This window comes from Homo sapiens, chromosome 16 (genome assembly GCF_000001405.40).
Source record: "Homo sapiens chromosome 16, GRCh38.p14 Primary Assembly".
In the NCBI taxonomy this organism is placed as follows: domain Eukaryota; kingdom Metazoa; phylum Chordata; class Mammalia; order Primates; family Hominidae; genus Homo; species Homo sapiens.
This window is the reverse complement of record NC_000016.10, coordinates 29,247,145-29,267,129: the sequence shown is the minus strand read 5'-3', so window position 1 is coordinate 29,267,129 and position 19,985 is coordinate 29,247,145. Positions and strand designations below refer to the sequence as shown.

Genomic DNA, 19,985 nt, shown 5'->3' with positions numbered 1-19,985 from the left:
GATACCCACTCTCCAGCCTTGCATCTTACACAGTGGCCTATCCCAGCTCCAGAGACGCTTCTCTCGCTCTCTGGTTGATGCATCTGCGTCTCTGTGGACCCCACGTTCTGCATATTAGTACATTCCCTTTTCAATTCTTGCACCTGGTGGGCACAGTGTTGAGGCCAGGCGGTCAGCATGCCCGTGACCGATCCCATACAGAAAGGTCAGCCTCCCCACGCAGCCCTGGGCAACTGTCAGCTGCTAGCTGTGGCCTCTCTCCCAACATGCTCTTTCTCTGCCTCTCTCCTTCCCTCCCTCCAAATCTCTCTCTCTTCCCCCATCACACGATTATTAGAGGAATGACTGGACTTCCTCCCACTCCTCCTCAAGTGACTCACTTCTGAAGGTCAGGCCACACTGTGGCTAAGTGAAAGAAACCCGTGTGAGAAGACACATCCTGACCTCCAGAAATGACCGGGAGCACCTCCCACTGCTGATTGGGGCTGGCAGGACAGAGCAGGCTTTGAGAATCACCCCCTTAAATCATCATAGGCAGCCAGCATCGCCGGCTCAGGGTCAGTCACCAATGGGCATGGGTGTTTGGCTCTTCTCTGGGCAGGAGGATCGATGGCCCCGAGCACAGGCCAGAGCAGCAGCCCCTCCACCGCCAATGGGGCCTGGGCAGGTCTGCCTGAGCTTTTCCACCATCAGATTGTAATACCTACCTAGCTGGGCAATTTCAAGCTGGAAATAATGTAAATTTCTGGGCATGCAAGATAACACTGTCATTAAGAGACCACAGTGATTGTTAGCCAGGCATGGTGGCTCACACCTGTAATCCTAGCACTTTGGGAGGCCGAGGCGGGTGGATCACGAGGTCAGGAGATTGAGACCATCCTGGCTAACACGGTGAAACCCTGTCTCTACTAAAAAAAAAAATATATATATATATGTATATACAAAAAAAAAATAAGCTGGGCGTGGTGGCAAGTGCCTGTAGTCCCAGCTACTCGGGAGGCTGAGGCAGGAGAATGGCGTGAACCTGGGAGGCGGAGCTTGCAGTGAGCCGAGATCATGCCACTGCACCCCAGCCTGGTGACAGAGCGAGACTCCGTCTCAAAAAAAAAAAAAAAAAGAGACCATCATGAAAATTCGCACTCAGACCCATTCCTGATCCCATCATATTCCAAGTCTCACCTGAAGCAAAGCAGTAGATGAAAGAATCCTGTAGTTCTTGGCACCTTTTATACAAGTGGCTTTCAACAGTCAATGCTAGAACTTAAAGAATCTTCTTCATCTTCTTTTTAACCACATAAAGGGGAAATAATTAAAACAACTACTTTTCCATTTTTTCCCAGCTGATCTACCCAACTCACAACTCTGGATTGTAAAATGAACAAAAACGAGTAGGACCAGTAGAAAAACCCCAGAGAATAGCCGATGGCAGAGACTTCGGCACAACCCCACCTCCCTCACCCGCACCATGGCAGACATGTCTAATCTACACAGAGCTAGACCCAGACTCCAGACAGCCATTACCAGTCAATCCCAGTTCATGTGCAAGATTAAACCAGTTACTCATAGCCCGTTTTACCATGAATCAGACAAGGTCAGAAAGGGGGCAGTGACTCACCCAGCCTCACACAGTCACCAAGGAGGCTGGACTGTATCTCCTGAAGCCGGGCAGACAGCCAAGGCCATGGAGGGAGGGAGGCCGGATCTCCACAGGGCTGAGGGGCAGGAACTTTCAGAAGCATGTTCTGTATGCAGTGATTCCACTACAAAGCAGAGGCGCCTGCTCTTCTCAACAAGGACAGTGGGCTCCTGGGCTCTGGTGGATTATCACAGGGCATGGCTGCCCCAGGGTCAGGCTCCGGGCTCTGCCCCCTTCCCTGCAGAGAAGGCTGGGATCTCCATGGTTTTAAGAGGGTTGATAGGAAGCTATCAACTTCACTGCCTTCTGGTCCTGAATGTTCTCAGATATATACATTTTAAAGAGTTTAAATTAAGTGGTGATTGGCAAACCCCAGTCTCCAACCCAGAGAGGACCTGGACAGTTGCCTCCTAAGGGAAGCCCTCAAGTTGGCCTGGACAGACCCGGGCAGTCTACCTCGGGTCTATCTAGAGTCTATCTGGGGTCTATGTATCTAGGATCTATCTATTTAGGGTCTATCTAGGGTCTATTTAGGGTCTATCTAGGGTCTATCTATCTAGGGTCTGTGCGCCCCACTTTGGGACATCCCTTCCTCCTGCCTCCTTCCCAGCAGCATCAGGGAGGGACCCCTGTGTGTCACTTGTGCGGCTCTCCACCCGACAGAGGGACAAAAGGGCTCATTCCTCTCTCCCTTCCCACGGGGAACTTCCAGCCTCCCTTCTGTTCCCTACCATGCAGTTCAGCAGACACAGGGTGAGTGGGTGCTGCGGGCCACATGGCAGCGTGGGCATCCCCCTCCCTGTCAGAGCTCCCAGTTGGGAGGGGCGGAGCACAGAGAAACAGGTGAAAATTAGAGGGTGGATTTCATCATCTCCAGAAACTTAGGAGAAACCAAGATACCTTCATAGGTGAACGGATAAGCTGGGGTCCCTCCAGACAATGGAATATTTTTCAGTGCTAAAAAGAAAGGAACTGCCAGGCTGTGAAAAGGCAGGGAGGAATCTTAGATGCTGCTAGGTGAAGAAGCCCATTGGAAAAGGCTGGATACTGTGTGATTCCAACTCCATGACATTCAGGAAAAGGCAAAACCATGAAAACAAGAAAGATCAGCAGCTGCCGGGGCTGGGCAGAGGGTGACTGGCAGGAGCACAGAGTGCAGGAAGGGTGAGTGGCAGGAGCAAGGAGGGCAGGGAGGGTGCATGGCAGGAGCACGGAGGGCAGGGAGGGTGAGTGGCAGGAGCACAGAGGGCAGGGAGGGTGAGTGGCAGGAGCACGGAGGGCAGGGAGGGTGCATGGCAGGAGCAAGGAGGGCAGGGAGGGTGCGTGGCAGGAGCATGGAGGATTTAGGGGCCCAGGAAGCTGCTCTGTGATACTGTAATGGGGATCGTGTGCCATGATTCATCTGTCAGCACCCACAGAATGTTCTCAGTAGTGGAACTGGAGGGCAAGGGAGGATGGAGAGAAGGGATATGGTAATTGTTATCTGTTCTATTTTCTGAAACCTAAAGCTGCTCTTAAAAATAGTTTATTAATTAAGAAAAAATTAGAGGGATGCTGGCTTGCTTGGCAGAGCACTGATTCTTTTAAGTCTGTGAACCAAAAATAATTTTTTTTTTTTTTGAGACAGAGTCTCGCTGTGTCTACAGTGGCACTAGCTCGGCTCACAGCAACCTCCGCCTCCCAGGTTCAAGCGATTCTCTTGCCTCAGCCTCCCGAGTAGCTGAGCTTACAGGCACCCACCACCACGCCTGGCTAATTTTTGTATTTTTAGTAGAGATGGGGTTTTGCCACGCTGGCCAGGCTGGTCTTGAACTCCTGACCTCAGGTGATCCACCTGCCTCGGCCTCCCAAAGTGCTGGGATTACAGGCGTGAGATACCGTGCCCAGCCCAAAAATAAAACTCTAAGCTCCCCAACCAACTGAATGGAACCCTCTTCTCAGCCAAGAGGATTCCAAAGTAAACCTAAAAAACAAGTTCAGGCTGTGATGGGAAGTGGGGGTCGGACACGTCTCTTTATACCCCCCTCCCTATGGAATTCAGGCCCAGCTGACCAGCACTCACATTAAAACCGAGAGTTTAAGACTGACAGCACAGGCTGTTTGTAGCAATAAGACACCAAATTCCAACCCGAGTCTAGTATAACATCACATGACAGGGAGCAGGTCCTGGAAGGAATAGAGTGTTTGACATAATTTTAAACGGCCCCGCAAAGCTGTCTCTTGTGGGGAAAATCCACATTCTGTAGAGAATCCTCTTCCCTTTCCAGGGCTTTTTCTGATGCTGGAGAGATGGGCTTAGCGTCTAGCACATTTCAAAGGTCTCAATAGGAGACATTTGCCATCTATTGCCTCGAAGGGCAGCCCCCTATGAGATTTCTTCTACAGAATAAGAACTTTGGTCTCCACAGCCCCTTATCTTAATCCAGACACTCCTTTCTATTGAGTCCAGGTGATCAGATAATAACTTAACTCTCTCAACCAATTGCTAATCAGAAAGTCTTTGAACCCACCTGTGACCAGGAAGCCCCTCCTCACCTTGAAGTCGTCCCGCCTTTCTGGGCAGAGCCAACGTACATCTGTCAAGTATTGACTGACTCTGCCTGAACCTCCTGTCCCCGTAGTGTATGAGCTCGGGCTGTGGCCCAACCCCCTGCGGCACATGTCCTCAGGACCCCCTGGAGCTGTGTCACCGGTCATGCTTCTCACATTTGGCTCAGAATAACTCTCTTCAAACATTGTATGGAGTTAGATGTTTTTTCCAGCAACAAGTCCTCATGGGGAACTACGGTTTGGTGTCTTTCTCTTCTCAGATACTGAATTCCTTGAAACGTTGACCTCCAAGATGCTAACTCAGGTGGGAGGAATTCAAGACAAGGAAGGAGCCTCTTTTGGGTTCTGGTTCCGGTCCCGCTACTGAAAACCCCTGATACAGTTCAAGGAGTGCGACAGCGCTGGTTTCAAATCCAGGTTTGCAGCCTGGTCTGGCGTGGAGAGGTTTTACTCTTGGGAGGCCCAGGAGAGGCAGAGGGTCTGGGCCAGGGAGGGCTGGTGTCCACGGCACTCCCGGTTCCGGGCTCCAAGTGTGTGGGGGGAGGGTGGCCACTCAAAGGAGAGAGCCTCAGAAGGAGGGCACTGGGGACCCAGGTACTGCTGAACCCAAAGAAATGAGCCGTTAAAAAGGAGAGAAATGTGTGTGGAAGCCCGGAGCTCCATGGGCAGGGAGGGCTGTGAGGGGAGCCAGGGACCAAGGAGAGACCCCGGGGCTTCGACACTGCCAGTCAGGACCCTCTCCATCCCTGGAGGGGCCCGGTGCAAAATGAAACCACGGGATCCCTTGTCAACCAGTCTCAAGAATTTCAGCAGCAGCCCCAGCGCCGGGCCTTCCCAAGTCAGATCCCACACCAGAAGGCCGGGGCCCTGCAGGACCCGAGCTTGGCGGCATCCCTCTCCTTCCCAAGTCTAGGCACCTGGAAGGGGGCGAGGAAGGGCAGAGCCGCCCCCCCGCACATCCCTTCACACCCTTCCCAGGGCCAAGGGGGAACATTACAGCTTCTGCGTGAATTCCTGTTTTCCTCCCTTCCTGTGAGTCAGGCACGATTGCTTGCACTGCGTCCGGCCGCCCCAGGCTTTATCTGATGGGAACGAGGCCTGGCCTAGGGCCTGAGAAGCTGCAATGGGAAAGACAAACACGGGCGGTGCGGCCCTCTGCTCTGTGACGAGAGCACTGCCCCCTTGGTGCAGGGACGCTGTGTCCAGCCTCCCCATCGGAGACACTCTGAGGGGACCCTGGAGGCCGTCCAGCTCCAGAAGAGCGCGCCCAGCTCCCCACGGGCTGCGTCCAAGCTGGTCCCCTCAGGCACTCCTGGTGGATGATCCACAGGCTGTGCCACGGTCAGCCCTGGTCCGCGCTGCAAGATGGGAGGTGGGAACTGGCTTAGCCCGGCTCCGGCTCTGGTTCCCCTCCCTGGCTTCATCCTCAGCGTTAATTCTTTGCGCCGTTCTGAGCTAAAGGTCTTCTCCCTGCCCCTCAAGATCACACAAGGTCACACAAGTTTCTTGGCCCTTACGAAGTCTGGCTGCTGCAGACGTTAAACCCCATCCCATCTATAATATAGGAAGCTGACAGTTCTTAAATCCTTCAGCTCACTCAAGAGGGAGGCCACGACCCACCTGCCTGCATGCTAAGCTTTCCATGGGGGCTTTACTAGAAAAACGCAGCGATCTCAGAAGATCAAAGAAGTTGGTGCTACGTTCACAACCACCTCCTCGGGGACTGCTGAGACCCAGCGGCTTTTGTACACAGGGCTTCTCCTCTGGGTTCAGAAGTCCATGGCCCTTCCAATCACCCAGCGCCTGCAGCCCACACAAAAGCCAGTGAGCTCATCCCAATAGGAAAAAGATAACTTCATCGTTTAAAAAAGCACTTAAACAGCAAAAGTTCCTGTGGAAACCACATGTGGAAAACCCACTGACAAACAGGCCAAATCCCTAAACCAAGGTTCAAATTTCAGGGGCTTCAGATGGGGCTGCGGGCGAGAGAGCAGGGTATTAGGGCTGAACGTCCACCAGCAACCAAGAAGGCGGCTGCACGGCGCTCACCAAAGCGCTCGCGCACAGGAGGCACTCATGGGCTTCCCGCATCCTCTACGTCCCCATCGGGGTCCTGAAACAGTCCTGCCTCCAGGCACCTCGGCACCGCCAGGCCAGCCCATCACGGCCCCAAAACATCTGCCTTCCCCTGGTGGGAGAGTGGGAGAGTCATGGGGCTGAGGTTTTGGGATCCTGTTTCATGCCCAGGCGGCCCTAAGCCTAATCAAACTCCCTCACCAAAACCGAACCCAGTCAAGGCCAGCTGCTATACATTTGGGCGCCTTCCCTCCCGCAGAAACCTCCAGAACACGGCATCCAGTAGCCCCCTGCTGCCTGGGGCCCATCCAAGGTGGCCTGGCCAAATTTCCAAGAGGAATAACAAAGTGAGCCCACGGCCCAGGCCAGGAAGACGGCAATGATGTTCAGGTTCCCAGGCGGCCCCCAGACTTTGGACACAGGCAGGGACAAAAGGGATTGACAAACCACTGGCCATGGTGGGGCTGCCCCAGTGCTGAAGGTTGGCGATTTCCTCCCAAGCCCCACAATGAAAACAGAAGCAGAAACGAGGCTACACACACAAAGAACCCGGCGGGGACGGCTCTCTGGCACTGTGGGTGCCCACAGCCTCTTTCTCACCAGGCCACAGCAGCGGTTCATCCAGCCTTCACACAGCCTCAGTTCCCCACACAGGAACAGTGAGTCTTTCGGAAGCCTCGTCCTTGAACGGCTGGAAGGAGCAGACAGAGGCTCCCCCAGGCCGTGGGAGGCTGAGCCAGCGCCTGAGGATCTGGCGGAGGAGGGAGAGCCCAAGGTCAAGGGCAGCCCCACCCCAGCCAGCCTGCACCCGGCTGGAGGTGGCCATGCAGGCCTGCTAGGTGGCGGCCAGACCACAGGCCCCTCCACCTCCCAGCTCCTGGCTGCTGAGAAGGCTGGGGCGCAATATGCGACGTGCCCAGAACCCTGAAGAGCAGCTCCGAATGTCAGATAGTTGCTGGGCTCTGGAGAGGAAAAACACATTGACTTTGTTCAAGGACACATGAGTTGCAATCTGGGCAATGCTGCCAAACAGACCCGACCCAGCCCCAGGCAGGGCGTTCTCAGGGCCAGCAGAAGCCGCCGTGGCCTGTTCACTCTGCAGCTACCCTCTTGCCGCAGGCTAACCCTCTGTCAGGCAGAGAGCTCCCGGACAGCCTGCTACCCATGCATCACTGCACCCAGGGCACCTCTTCTCAAAACAAGGACAGCGTTAACTGGGACAGGAATGATTTCCGCAAAGGCCAGGCCTAATCAGGATGGAGGAAAGATGTTGGGGTTTCTCTGCTTTTTCCAGAGATTGCAGTGGCCAGTGCCTGGACACCCCCGAAAGTCCCAGGCCTGGTCCAGCTGTCCCAGGGAATTGGGAGGCGTGGTGGTGGTGGGAGGGGAGCTGTTGACGCCACCTCCCAAAGTGGTGTCTCTCTCATTGACCAGCCGTATTGGGTGGGGGAGGTTCTTAAAATCTGTGTTCTAAACATCCAGGTAATCACTGAAACAGCCCGATGGCTGTGCAGGGCAATCCGTTCATCCTGCCCTCAGATTGAGGCTGGGAAAGAAGTGGCAGGACTCAGCGTGATTTCATGCTCTAGTTTTCTTGAACCTGGGAACTGTTGCAGCCTCAGCAGGGACCTTGCCGTCAACGTTGGCAGTGCCCAGCCTTTGCGTGGTCGAGGTCTGAGGGCCAGACACCCTCCTCGCGCCCGCCCTGCCTTCCCTCCAGGCTCCAGGTCCAGGAGGCTGCCCGGAGGGTCCACCATGCCTAGGTCCATGCAGAGGGTGGCAGCAGGGAGATTGGGGCCGGGTGTTCATTCTCTGGCTCCTGCGGCTTGGCTGCACCCCAAAAAGCCCATCACGGCACCTTCAGACTTTACTGTTATTGGCTCAATAATAGCCCCCAAAGATGCCCACATCCTAATCCCAGATCCTGGGAATATGTTCCCTGGTGATATTTACATGCAGACGTGACTGAGCAGGTGAGTAAGTGAAGGCTCTTGAGATGGGAGTGGCCCTGGGTTGTCCTGGTGGCTCAGTGTCATCCCAGGGTCCTTGAAGAGGGAGGCAGGGAGAGTCACCGCAGGAGCAGGTGTGAGAAGGAACACAGAGTCAGAGAGAAATGGAAAGAGGCTGCGCTGCTGGCCTGGAAGGTGGAGGAAGGGCCATGAGCCGAGGAGTGCAACGGCCTCAGAGGCCACAAAGGTAAGAAAAGGACCCTCCCCTGGAGGTCCCAGGAGGAACCGGCCCTCACACACCCTGATTTTAGCCCAGCGAGGTGTGTGCCAGACTTCTGACCTCCAGAGCTGACAGAGCTGTGAGCCTGTGGTCATCTCGTCGCAGCCCCATGGCACTGACACACCTGTCCTCTTTGGATTCCAAGAAAGGACACCACCCCAGTCCCACCCCAGCCTTCAGGCTTAGGGCGATGGGGCTTCTCTTTCACAGGGTCCTCGGTCCCTTCACACAGGTTCCCTGAGCCCCGCCCAAACCTTTTCAGCACTGTGAAGCCCTCCTCCAGGTGCTGTCTCCCTCCTGCTGGGCTCTGACCAATGTGGTCCTGTTCCTCCTGTTTGGGCAACAGTGTTGCCTTCCCCTGCTACCCTGGAAGTCCCCCAGGCAATTCCATCCATGGGTTCTGATGAGCATGAACCAACTGGCATGACCACCAGGAGCCACCATCTCTCCAGCCCGGGAAGGGCTTGTGTGTGTTGGGGGAGGGGAGGGCACGTGCGGCTGGTCTGAGGTTTTCTCCCGTGTGAAATGTCAGATTCCCAGGACTTTTAGAGTTCCAGGCATGTGTCCTGGGTCCCTTCGCCAGAGCCTACACCAAAGGCTCTGGCCCATGGCACCTGGCACTCACCGTCCCCAGCATGCTGACAGCTCCCGCTGTGAGAGTCGGGGCCTCTGCCAGGCAGCTTGCTCCCTGTCCACAGGAGAGGCCACGGGGCCAGGGAGGGAGGCCATGGGAGCAGCTGCTTCAGCAGCGTGTGGGGACTGCGGGACAGATGCCCACTCCTTGGTACGTTCCATGTTCCACTCCTCTGGGGGCGTCCCCGGAGGCTCAGAGCCCAGTTACCCACAGCGACACCTGCTCATCAGCCCTCATCAGCTCCTTTCCCACCCAACTTGCCCACTCCTTGGTGCGTTCCATGTTCCGCTCCTCTAGGGGAGTCCCCAGAGGCTCAGAGCCCAGTTACCCACAGTGACCCCTGCTCATCAGCCCTTAACAGCTCCTTCCCTGCCTGACTTGCCCACTCCCCAGGGCTGCCTGGGGTCACCCCCAAATCTTGCTCCCAAGGCCTGCCTCTGGGGGCCCAGGCCCAGAGGCCAGAGGCCGCCTCAGCAATCCTGAAGCAGACAGCAGATGGCAGCCTTGGATCAGCCCTTTCTGGCTGTTTCCAGGCTCCAGCTGAAGGTGGAAGGGTGGTTCTGCTGTGTTCTCTTCCTTGGAATTTCTGGGAAAACCACGAGCGGGACTAGAACCCAAAATCTTCATTCCATCGTCAATGAAAGCCAAAGACACCTGGACCTTGGAAACAGTCTGAGCCTTCCTGATGGAGAGCGGATGAGGACCGGAGGGAAAGGGACACCGGACTTTGGAAACAGTCTAAGCCTTCCCGATGGAGAGTGGATGAGGACCGGAGAGAAAGGGCCCTGAGAAAGTAGGCTGCTGCCCTGGATCCCAGACCCAACCAGAGTGGCACAGAGTCCTCCAGAACAGAGCGTGCCCCCGGGAGAGCCACCGGCCCTGCTGCACCTGCTGGGGTGTCCCTGCTGTTCACCCTCCCTGGGCTCCTGGACCACAGCGGGGCAGAGTGGAGGAGGAGGTGTGCACAGAGGCACCATTGTTGTGGGAAGCAGTTTGTTGGTGAGGAGGGAGCTGCGGTCCTGCATGACATCCACACGTGTGACATCCACACGCGTGAAATCAGCACACACGCGTGACATCCACACGCGTGACACCCACATGCGTGACACCAGCACACACGTGACATCCACGCACATGACATCAGCACACACGTGTGACATCCACACGCGTGACATCAGCACACGTGTGCCATCCACACATGTGACATCAGCACACACGCATGACATCCACACTTGTGACAGCACACACGCACACACACTCATCATTCAGACAGGACTAGCACAAGAACCGCACGGAATGACCACAGAGGGTCTTGGCGGGAACGGAAAACAAGCTGCCTCCAACCTCGTGCAGCCTCTTTTTCCTCCAGATCATCGCTAAGTCCTCCCAGGGCTGGTGTGCCCGAGAAGCAGGAGGGTTCCCGAGAGCAGCTTTTTGCTCCCAGGAGTGGCAGGTTCCTGCCGCCTGACAGGCTGCTCGCGGAGGAGGCTGGAGCCAGCACAAACGCCATGTCTTGTCGAGACCTTCACTAGAGTCTCTCCGGTTGTTTTTTTTCTCGAGAAAAATATTGGAAAATTGGTGAAAATATTTACATCGATTTTATCTCTTTATCTTGGTTTGACTTTTTTATTCTCCTTTAAGTTGATTCATTTTTAGTGAAGTGCAAAATAAATTCTCATGTTTGAAGTTTTGGAAAAGTCTGCAGTCCCAGGGAGGTGATGGGTTAAATGCTGTTTGTTGACTGTGGACTGCAGATGGCTCAGCTCTTACCTTGACAAGGACGGTGAGGACGGCAGACATGGGCGCCCGGCTGCTGTGCCTCCCTCCCTGCCTGGCTTCTGCCTGATGCTGCTGCTGAGCCCCCGAATTGCCTCACCAGACCCCGTCCACCCAGACACTGGGAGCCCATGGCCAAACTGGTGTGTCTTGCATTAAAAATAAAACCCATTTATGACATCTGACACAGGCAAGCCTCCCAGGAGTTGTATGAAAATTGTTTTCCAGGTCAATCCCAACTATTGAAACAATTCACAGGGGGAGCAAAGCAAGGCCGGAAGGAAACTCTCCAGAAGATGAGTAAGAGCTGGCTTTGGTGTCTTTTTGGTCCTTTATCTACTTTTATGTGTTTTCCAAATTTCTCATAATGAGAATATTTTGCAAAAAAACAGAAGTTGCCAGGTTTGGACACTCAGGATGAGCTTTCAAAATCAGTTACAGAAAATATTCTCCTCCCTAGGGGTGCGTCTCTGCTTTAATCAGCTTGTCTGAGAGTAGAGAGTAAACCACCATTGCCGTGCCCTCTCCTCTGCTCTGACAGGGCTGCTATCGGGCTTATCTCAGGAATCCCGCAGTAGTCCTGCGGGGCAGGTGCCATTGTAAGGCAAGGCCCCAGAACACACACCCCAGGGCCCAGACCCAGCGCCCATGCCAGGCGCCGTGTGTGCTGTCTCACGGGACCCACAGGGCGACCTGCGCAGTGGGGCCCTCATCCCGTTGCTCGGAGCCTGTGAAGCTGGCAGGCAGCACCAAGGAGCGAGGCAGGGTCCCCCTGCTCCACAGCCCACACCCTCCCAGTGAGCCAAACAGTGTCCTCCAAAGCCACGTCTTCCTGCGACCTCAGAAGGTGGGTTTATTTGGAAAGAGGGTCTTTGCAGGCGTGATCAGTTCAGCTTAGACGAGGTCATACTGGATCAGGGGCCCTAAATGCAACGGTGGGTGTCCCCATAAGAAAAGGAGGAGCCACATGAAGACATGGAAGGAAGAACGCCCTGTAACGATGGAGGCGGAGCCTGGCGGGGTGCACCTGTGAGCCAAGGTCCCCTAAGGACGGAGGCAGAGCCTGGCGGGGTGCACCGGCGTACCGGGGAACGCCGAGGATGGCTGGCACCCCCGGGCAGGCTCCTTGATGCCAGCCCTCTGCTTTCAGGGCTGTGGGGGATACGTTTCTGTTGTTTTAAGCCTCCGGTGTGTGGCATTTGTTACAGCGGTGACGGGAAACAACATCTCCATCATTGTTGGGGACGTCACCACAGAGACGAAAATATGGAAAATACACATCAAGGCAGGCACCCTTGGGAGGGAGAAGGGGAGATGGGGACACAGGGAGACGGGGCAGTGGGGAGACTCGAGGGAGGGAGAAGGGGCGGGGGCCAGGCCGGGGGCCGGGAGACAGGGAGAAGGGGAGACGGGGAGATGGGGAGATGGGGAGATGGGGAGACAGGGAGACAGGGAGACGGGGAGACAGGGAGAAGCTGAGGGAGGGACTGGAGGCCGGTGTCGGCCTCCCAGGCTAGGAGCCAGGAGACAGAGAGAAGGGGTGGGGGCAGCCTGAGGCCAGGCACGGCTGAGTGGCGGTTGACGGGTCCTCCCGGCCTCCTTCCATCCTCCTTCCTCCCCCTTCCCCGCTTCCTCTCTCTTCCTGTGTTAGAATTGTTCCCGGCCCTGGGGAGACAGTGGGAACAAGACTAGTCAGGTGCCCGCCCTTATGTATCCCCACGACGGGCAAGGGGCTTTCAGACACAGAGGCAGCAAGCTCTGGCCGCAGGGATCCCTGCAGTGGCTGCAAAGTATGGAGGCCCCGGCGTGGAGGAGGCACGGGTGGAAACGCGCAGGCCCCGGCGTGGAGGAGGCACGGGTGGAAACGCGCAGGCCCTGGCGTGGAGGAGGCACGGGTGGAAACGTGCAGGGCATATCTTGGGAATCCTTCCCGGGTGGAACACAGGGGGCTAGAATTTAAACGTGCAGACTGTGGTGCGTGATTTCCCACACGCCCTTTGCTTTGGAACCCACACTTCTTAACTCAGAGGTGAAGTACGCAGGTTGCAAATAAGACGGTGAAACCACTAAAGGCAGGAAGGGAGGAGGAAATGGAGCTGGAGGTGGGGGTTGGGGGGCGGGCAGGGCCTGTTTCTGGCCCTCCTGAGCCTTGTCTGCCAGGGGACATTCGAGGTCTGGGCGAGCATCTGGAGCATCACCCAGCACCATCGGTGTCTGGAGGGTGACACTTGCTTTCCAGAAGGAGGGCCGCACTGGTCTCTTGAGCAGCCATAAGGAAGGGCCACAGACTAGGGTGCTGCAAAGCTTCAGGAACTCCTCTCTCCCAGCTCCGGAGGTCACAGCCCAACATCAAGGTGAGGGCAGGGCCAGCTCCTTCTGGAGGCGCTGGGAAGGGTCTGCTCCCTTCCCACCCCAGCTGTAGGAGGCCCTGACGATCCTGGGGGTCCTCAGTGGGCAGCTGCACAATGCCAGCCTCTGCCTCCCGCTGCACGTGGCCTCTCCCCTACGCCTCTCTTCTCCCAGCCTCCTAAGGACCCACCCTAACGACCTCACCTCACCCTCCTCACATCTGCAGAGGCCCATTTTCACAAGCTCACATCCTGCGTGCTGGGGGTGAAGCCTTAACATGCCTTTTGGGGGGACACAATTTAACCCAAAACAACTGTCCAAAAAGATTCAGGACTTTAACAAGGTGGAAGACGTTTAGCACCCTCCATCCCCAGCACAGATGCCTGCGAAAAATCTCTGGCTCGGTTTCATGAGTGACCATGGACCAAGGTCCCCAGACACCAGCGGGGCCACTGTGACAGGCACTCTGCAGCCTGGGGAGGTGGGGGGCCACCATCCTGGGGCTGCAGAGAAAGCCCTTCTGCCATGTGCAGGGAGCCAGGGTGTCCCGAGACAGCCAGGAAGGTCCAGCTGCCAGAGACCTCAGGACTTGTCAGGGAGGCTGTCTTAGTACATACATGCTGCTATAACAAAACACCCGAGACTAAGCAATTTGCAAACAGCTGACATTTCCTGCTGGCAGCTCTGGAGCTAGAAGCCCAGGATGAAGATGCTGGCAGGTCCGTGTCTGGGGAGGCCCCTTCCTGGTTCATAGGCAGTGTTTCCTGTGTGTCCTCATGTGATGGGAAGGGCAGGGATCTCTCCAGGGCCTCTTTGTAAGGACACCAATCCCATCCACGAGGCCACATCCTCATGTCCTCCAGCTCCCAACACCATGGCCTTGGGGGTGGGGTTTCAACACACACATTTGGGGGCCACAGACACAGGCTGCAGCAGAGGGCATGGGCGGCTCCTCCTTCACCCCCTTTGCATTCATCTTCTCCCCGAAAAAGGCAAAGCCCTCCACCCTCCCTGCCCCTCACCTTCCCTTTGAAGGGTCTCCCCAATCCCTGCCCACCGAATTCCCTTCTGGCGATTAGAAAGGGGGGCTTTGATCTAAAGCCTCCTTCAAAATGCCTCGCACTATACAAGATTTTGGGATAAGCAGTGGAGACTGTGTCTCAAGTTTAAACCTCAGGGACTCTGAATCGAGTCAATGCAGGGATTCAGCCAGAATTCAGCCACATCGGGAAATCAGAACCCAACTCCCAGTGGGTGCCACAAGTGTGATTTTTAGAATATTTGAGGAAACTCAAAGATAGCCAGTCATTTATGGCTGGCTGAGGGCAGGTGGCCTGAGGAAGCCAGTGGGGAACGGAGGTTCGGCGGAGTCCAAACTGCTGAGAGGGTCGGGTGATCCCTGCGCCAGGCGCCCGTAGGCACTGAGGGGAAGGGGCAGAGGGGCCAGTGAGGAGGATGTAGAGTGGGGAGCGGAGCAGCCCACGCTCACATCCTGCATGGTCAGAGGCGGAGGTTAGGGTTAGGATTAGCGTTGGGGCCCCACCATCCCACCATGGGGCTGAGCCACGTGAGCCCAGCAGTGAGGCTGGGGCACCTCCACTCCCCAGAGCACAGCAGATCCTGAGCCCCTCAACACCCTGAGCCGCTGGGGACCCACTGGGCGCTTCACAGATAAGCAGTAAAAAGGCTGTGGGCCCAGGGCACATGTGTGTGCACACACAGAGACACGTGTACATGCTTACACACAGACACACACGTGCACACTTACATATGTACGTACTTACACAGAGACACACATGGACACACACACAGAGACACACACGGGCAGAGCTCGCGGCCTTGCTGGGCTCCGACCCTGCGAGCCTGGATTGAGGTGCAGCCCAGACGCCCTCTTGCTGCTTGCCAGGCTGCTCTGCCTCTCTGCACCTCAGTCTCCTCATCAGAGAAGCTGACGGGTTTACCACTAAGTGCCACGCTGCAGGCCACACCCAGGCCAGCCCCCAACCCCGCCCACATTCCTGTACTGCCCAAGTATTTGCTGGGGACCATGAAACAGAAAGAAGGCCCTTTCCTCCGGCGCACGTTACAGACGCAAGACCCAGATTCACACCTCATCCGCGCCAACAGTGACATTAAAAACCAGGAAGAAATCACTCACCGCCTGCAGGGCTCCGCGGTGTTGTGTCCTGGCTCAATCCGCTTGGCTAACACCCTGCCTCGCCACTATAATCCTGGGGTCAGGAGGGACAGGCCCGGGCACGCAGGGTGACGGTCCTGGGGCCGCTGGTTCTGTGTGTGGCCGCGTGTCTTCCTCCAGTTGAGGAAGGAATGTTTCCTTCTTTTCCTTCCAGCTCCCTTCTCAGCGCCCTTCTGCAGAAGGAGCTCGGCTCCCTTCAGATCCCTGCCCGAGAAAACAACAGGCGTCTTTTGTTTTATTTTATCTTATTTTCAAACATAGAAAAGTAAACATCGCTCTTATCATTTGAAAGAAAATGATCCACATTAGAAATGATTGGGCGAATGGAAAACTAATAAAAATGCCCCAACCCCCATTCCTCCGCTCGTTCATTCGGCACATGTTCATGGGGGCCCCCAGGGCAGGACGCGGTGCTGAGCTTGAGATGAGGGCACAGTAACACAGGCGAGGCCTGCACTCCACACAGTTTACATTCTAACGAAGGGGGCGGACGGCCCAGAGGGACAGGAGAAAAGTCAAATAACCACAAATTGAGATGAGTGCTGTGGAAGGACACAGCGGGCTGGATGAGAGGCAGCAGAGAGCTGCTTTCACACGGTCCCAGCCAGTCTTTGCTCCTGTGCTCTGTCCCCACATTCCTTCAGCAAACAGGGACGCCCCACGCACCAGGCACGGCTTCAGGCACCAGGGTCGAGGCATCATTCCCAAGCACGCATCCTTCCTCAGAGTTCTTCACTCGGCTTTGTGCTGGGGTGTCTGTCCACCTTTCTGCTCCGTCTCTAACCATGAGTGAAAAGGCTGTGTGATACTCAGTGATGCAAACACCCCACATGGTGTTTACTCAGCCTCTCTGTATTAGTTCTTCTTCATGCTGCTGATTAAGAGATACCCAAGACTGGGTCATTTATAAAGAAAAAGAGGTTTAATGGACTCACAGTTCCATGTGTCTGGGGAGGGAAGGCAAAAGGCATGTCTTACATGGTGGCAGCCAAGAGAGAATGAGAACCAAGAGAAAGGGGTTTCCCCTTATAAAACCCGCAGATCGCATGAGACTTATTCACTGCCACGAGAACAGAATAGAGGAAACTGCCCCCATGGTTCAGTTTTCTCCCACTGGGTCCCTCCCACAACCCATGGGAATTATGGACACTATAATTCAAGGTGAGATTTGGGTGGGGACACAGCCAAACCATATCACTCCCCTATTAGGGGACACCTGGGTTGTTTCCAGTTCTTCCCTCTCACAAATACCACTGCTGGGACATCATCATGCTTAAGGGTTTTACCCTTGTGTGGCAGGTTTTAGGCAACTGGTTTCAACCCTCTTTTACAAATCAGGATGACTTCCTCTAGCATGGAACCCAGGTGCTGGGTGCTGTAGGGAGAGGCTGACGCTTTGCAAAAATAATACTTTGGGATGATTGTGGTGGCCCATGTCTATAATCCCAGCACTTTGGGAGGCCAAGGTGGAAGGATCGTTTGAGGCCAGGAGTTCAAGAGCTGCTTGGGCAATATAGCAAGAGCATGTCTCTAGAATGTTTTTTTTTTTTTTTTCGAGATGGAGTTTCGCTCTTGTTGCCCAGGCTGGGGTGCAATGGCACGATCTCGGCTCACCACAACCTCTGCCTCCCAGGTTCAAGTGATTCTCCTGCCTCAGCCTCCCTAGTAGCTGGGATTACAGGCATGTGCCACCATGCCCAGCTAATTTTGTATTTTTAGTAGAGATGGGGTTTCTCCATGTTGGTCAGGCTGGACTCAAACTCCCGACCTCAGGTGATCCACCTGCCTCGGCCTCCCAAAGTGCTGGGATTACAGGCGTGAGCCACCGCGCCCAGCCTTAGGAAAATTTTGAAAATATTAGCCAAGTATGATGGCATGCACTTGTAGTCCCAGCTACTCGGGAGGCCGAGGCAAGAGGATCACTTGAGCCCAGGAGGTTGAGGCTGCAGTGAGCTGTGATTGCACCACTGCATTCCAGCCTGGGCAACTGAGCAAGACTCTGTCTCTAAACAAACAAACAAACAAACAAACAAAACAAAGAAACAACTTTGATCCAGGCTGTGAGCTCTGGGAATCAATTAGTGGGTGTGTAGCCAATGCTGAGGAGGAGGCAAGAGAGAAAACAGAAAACATCACCACACAGAACGTGAAATAAGGATTCACATTCTGAAACTGCATTTCAGCTGCGGATGAGAGTATGTGCCTAGGGCGAAGATGAAACAGTGTATTCCTTACTGTGGATCTCAGCTCAGAAAGTGTGAGAGTGTGATGAGGGGGGTTGAATGGCAGCCCCAAAAAATAAGCCCACGGCCCAGAGACTGTGAGAGTGGCCTCATCTGGAAAAAGGGTCTTTGTAGGTGTGATTCAGTTAAGGATGTTGCGATGAGATTGTTCTGAAGTAGGGAGGGCTGTGAATTCAATGACAAGTGTTCTTAGAAGAGAAAATCCATGGGACAGCAGAGGCAGAGTGGACTGAAGTGTCCATAAGCAGAGAAGAGCCGGGGCCAGCAGCAGCTGGGAGCGGATGGAGTGGAATTCTCCCTCGGAGACCCCAGAAGGAGTCAGCCCTGCCGATGCCTTAGGACTCCTGGCCTCTGGAAGTGTGCAAGGATGCATTTCTGTTGTTTGAAGCCCCCCGGTGTGTGGTCCTCTGTTACAGGACCCCTGGGGATGCATGACTGGGGCTCTCACTGATCTCAGAGGGGCACATGCTAGAGACATAGCAGACTGGACGCTGGCCCGCAGCCGGGGCAAGGAGCAGCCAGGCCCCTTCTCCGGCACTGTCTGGAGGAAGCGCTCAGAAGGCTTCCCATCCCCCTGAGACCATGCATTCTTGCTCGTCTACAAGGCCCTGTATCCTGGCCCCACAACCTCCTCGGGGAGCTGCCTGCATGTGAACAGCGAGGCCTTAGTTGGAGCGGAGAGGAAGTGTGGCAGCCAGGCACGATAGTGGCCCACAGAGAGAGTTTTACAAGTGGGGAAGCATTTCCTCTGTGCTATCTCACTCGAGCCCTCACGGCCGTGGGAAGTTGTTTTTATAGATCTGGTGATGAGGAAGCCACGGCTAGCAGGAGATGACATTCTGCGGCCCAGCCAGCCCGGGTCTGTCCTTACCCGAAGCCCTCATCTCTCTGGTGTGAGTCCTGCTCTATCCAGGACGTGCCAGCAGGTCCAGGCCTGGGTCACTGTGTCCTGGGCACTCCCAGTGCCTCACAGTGACACCGAGCGGGAGCAGCAGAAGGGCCTGGCTTGAACTGGGTCCCTGATTAATGCCTTCACCAGTGTTCTGGGTGGTCTTCCCTCTGGCCATTCAGGGACCAGTGCTGGGTGTAGGGTGGTGCTTACTGGTGGCAGTGAGTGGATGAGTGAGGCTCCCTGTGCAGGGCAGGTGGATGGCAGCATTTTGAGACCCGGAGAGCAAGTGGCAAGTGGGAGCCAAACTGAACAATGTGTTGGAAAAACGCCCAGAGTTAATTTGGGAGCCAGGCCAGGAAGGATCCCCTTGTGGGGGAATGTTCAAGGGTGTAGGGGCCCCATGGCTGCACCAAGGTCTGTGCTATACGGTGGCTCAGAGCTCAGGCCCTGGAGCCACAGACTCAGGTTCCTGTTTGGGCTCTGCTACTTAAAGTGACATGACCTGGACAGTGCGACCTCTCCCTCATCTTCCTCAGCTGTGAAATGGGACCATAACTGTGATTAGTTCACAGTGTCATGAGGATTAAATGAGATAAATCACGAGAATCAGTTTGCTCCAGGGGCTCAGTAAGTGTTGGATGAGAGCACCCGGTTCACCCCCTTCCTGTCATGGGTCACACTGTGGCATTCTGTAACCTGGCTGCCATCTGCTTGCAGCACACTTCATCCAGGCAAGAAAGCTCTGGCACTGCTCTCATACGGTGGGAATCCCGGCAAATCATCCCCAAATCATCTCAGCAGATCTGAGGCCTCCATGACTTCCTCCATTTACAAACAATTCTCCAGGTTTTATAGCAGGGTGGGCGTGACACCGGCTGCACACTGGGCATTTTCCAATCTCGCTGAAGGATGCGCTCACACGAGGGAGCCTGCAGTGCCCTCTGCTTCAGGACCCCAGTAGCAGGTTCTGGGTGGGAATGAGGCCACCATGGGGCCATGGCTCACTGAGAACAGCTAGAAAAACTCTACTGGACACAAAATTGTCTTTGGAAGGCATCATGAGGCTGCTGAGGTCATGTCAAGTATTGGAGGACTCTGGAGAGGGGAGAACCAGGAAGGTGAGCAAACGTCTACAGATGCTTTCTCTCTAGGGGAGAACCAGGAAGGGGAGCAACGTCTCAGGTGCCTTCTCTCTAGGGGCATCTGCCAGTTGTGGGCACAGGCAGGAGGCTGAGAATCTTGAGCTGTACCCACGGAGGGCCACTTCTGGGGACAGAGGAAAGAGCTGAGCTCTTGGTGGAGACTTGGGGTGCCTGAAGGACCTGGCCAGGTTTCCCCACAAGTCACATGATGAAAACTGGGGTCATGTGGAAATGGGATACATGGAAGGCCCCAGGGAAGTA

The 19,985-nt window shown here is 55.4% G+C and overlaps 1 long non-coding RNA gene across 1 annotated transcript, besides 2 other annotated features; it reads left to right on the top strand.

Annotated features, from left to right (window-relative positions):
* Positions 1,663-1,825: a silencer, noted in NCBI's record as "fragment chr16:29276626-29276788 (GRCh37/hg19 assembly coordinates)". NCBI's record gives its function as "represses an EF-1alpha promoter that drives an FKBP-Casp9 reporter gene in an ReSE screen in HepG2 liver carcinoma cells {active_cell/tissue: HepG2}" and the evidence as "EXISTENCE:reporter gene assay evidence [ECO:0000049][PMID:32094911]".
* On the top strand, positions 8,351-11,086 carry LOC124903676 (uncharacterized). The gene is made up of 2 exons (XR_007065049.1): positions 8,351-8,458; positions 9,659-11,086. It is a non-coding gene; the product is annotated as an uncharacterized LOC124903676 (long non-coding RNA).
* Positions 17,856-18,356: an enhancer, noted in NCBI's record as "H3K4me1 hESC enhancer chr16:29260095-29260595 (GRCh37/hg19 assembly coordinates)". NCBI's record gives its function as "activates a minimal SCP1, AML or CMV promoter by ChIP-STARR-seq in naive H9 embryonic stem cells {active_cell/tissue: H9 hESC(naive)}" and the evidence as "EXISTENCE:reporter gene assay evidence [ECO:0000049][PMID:30033119]".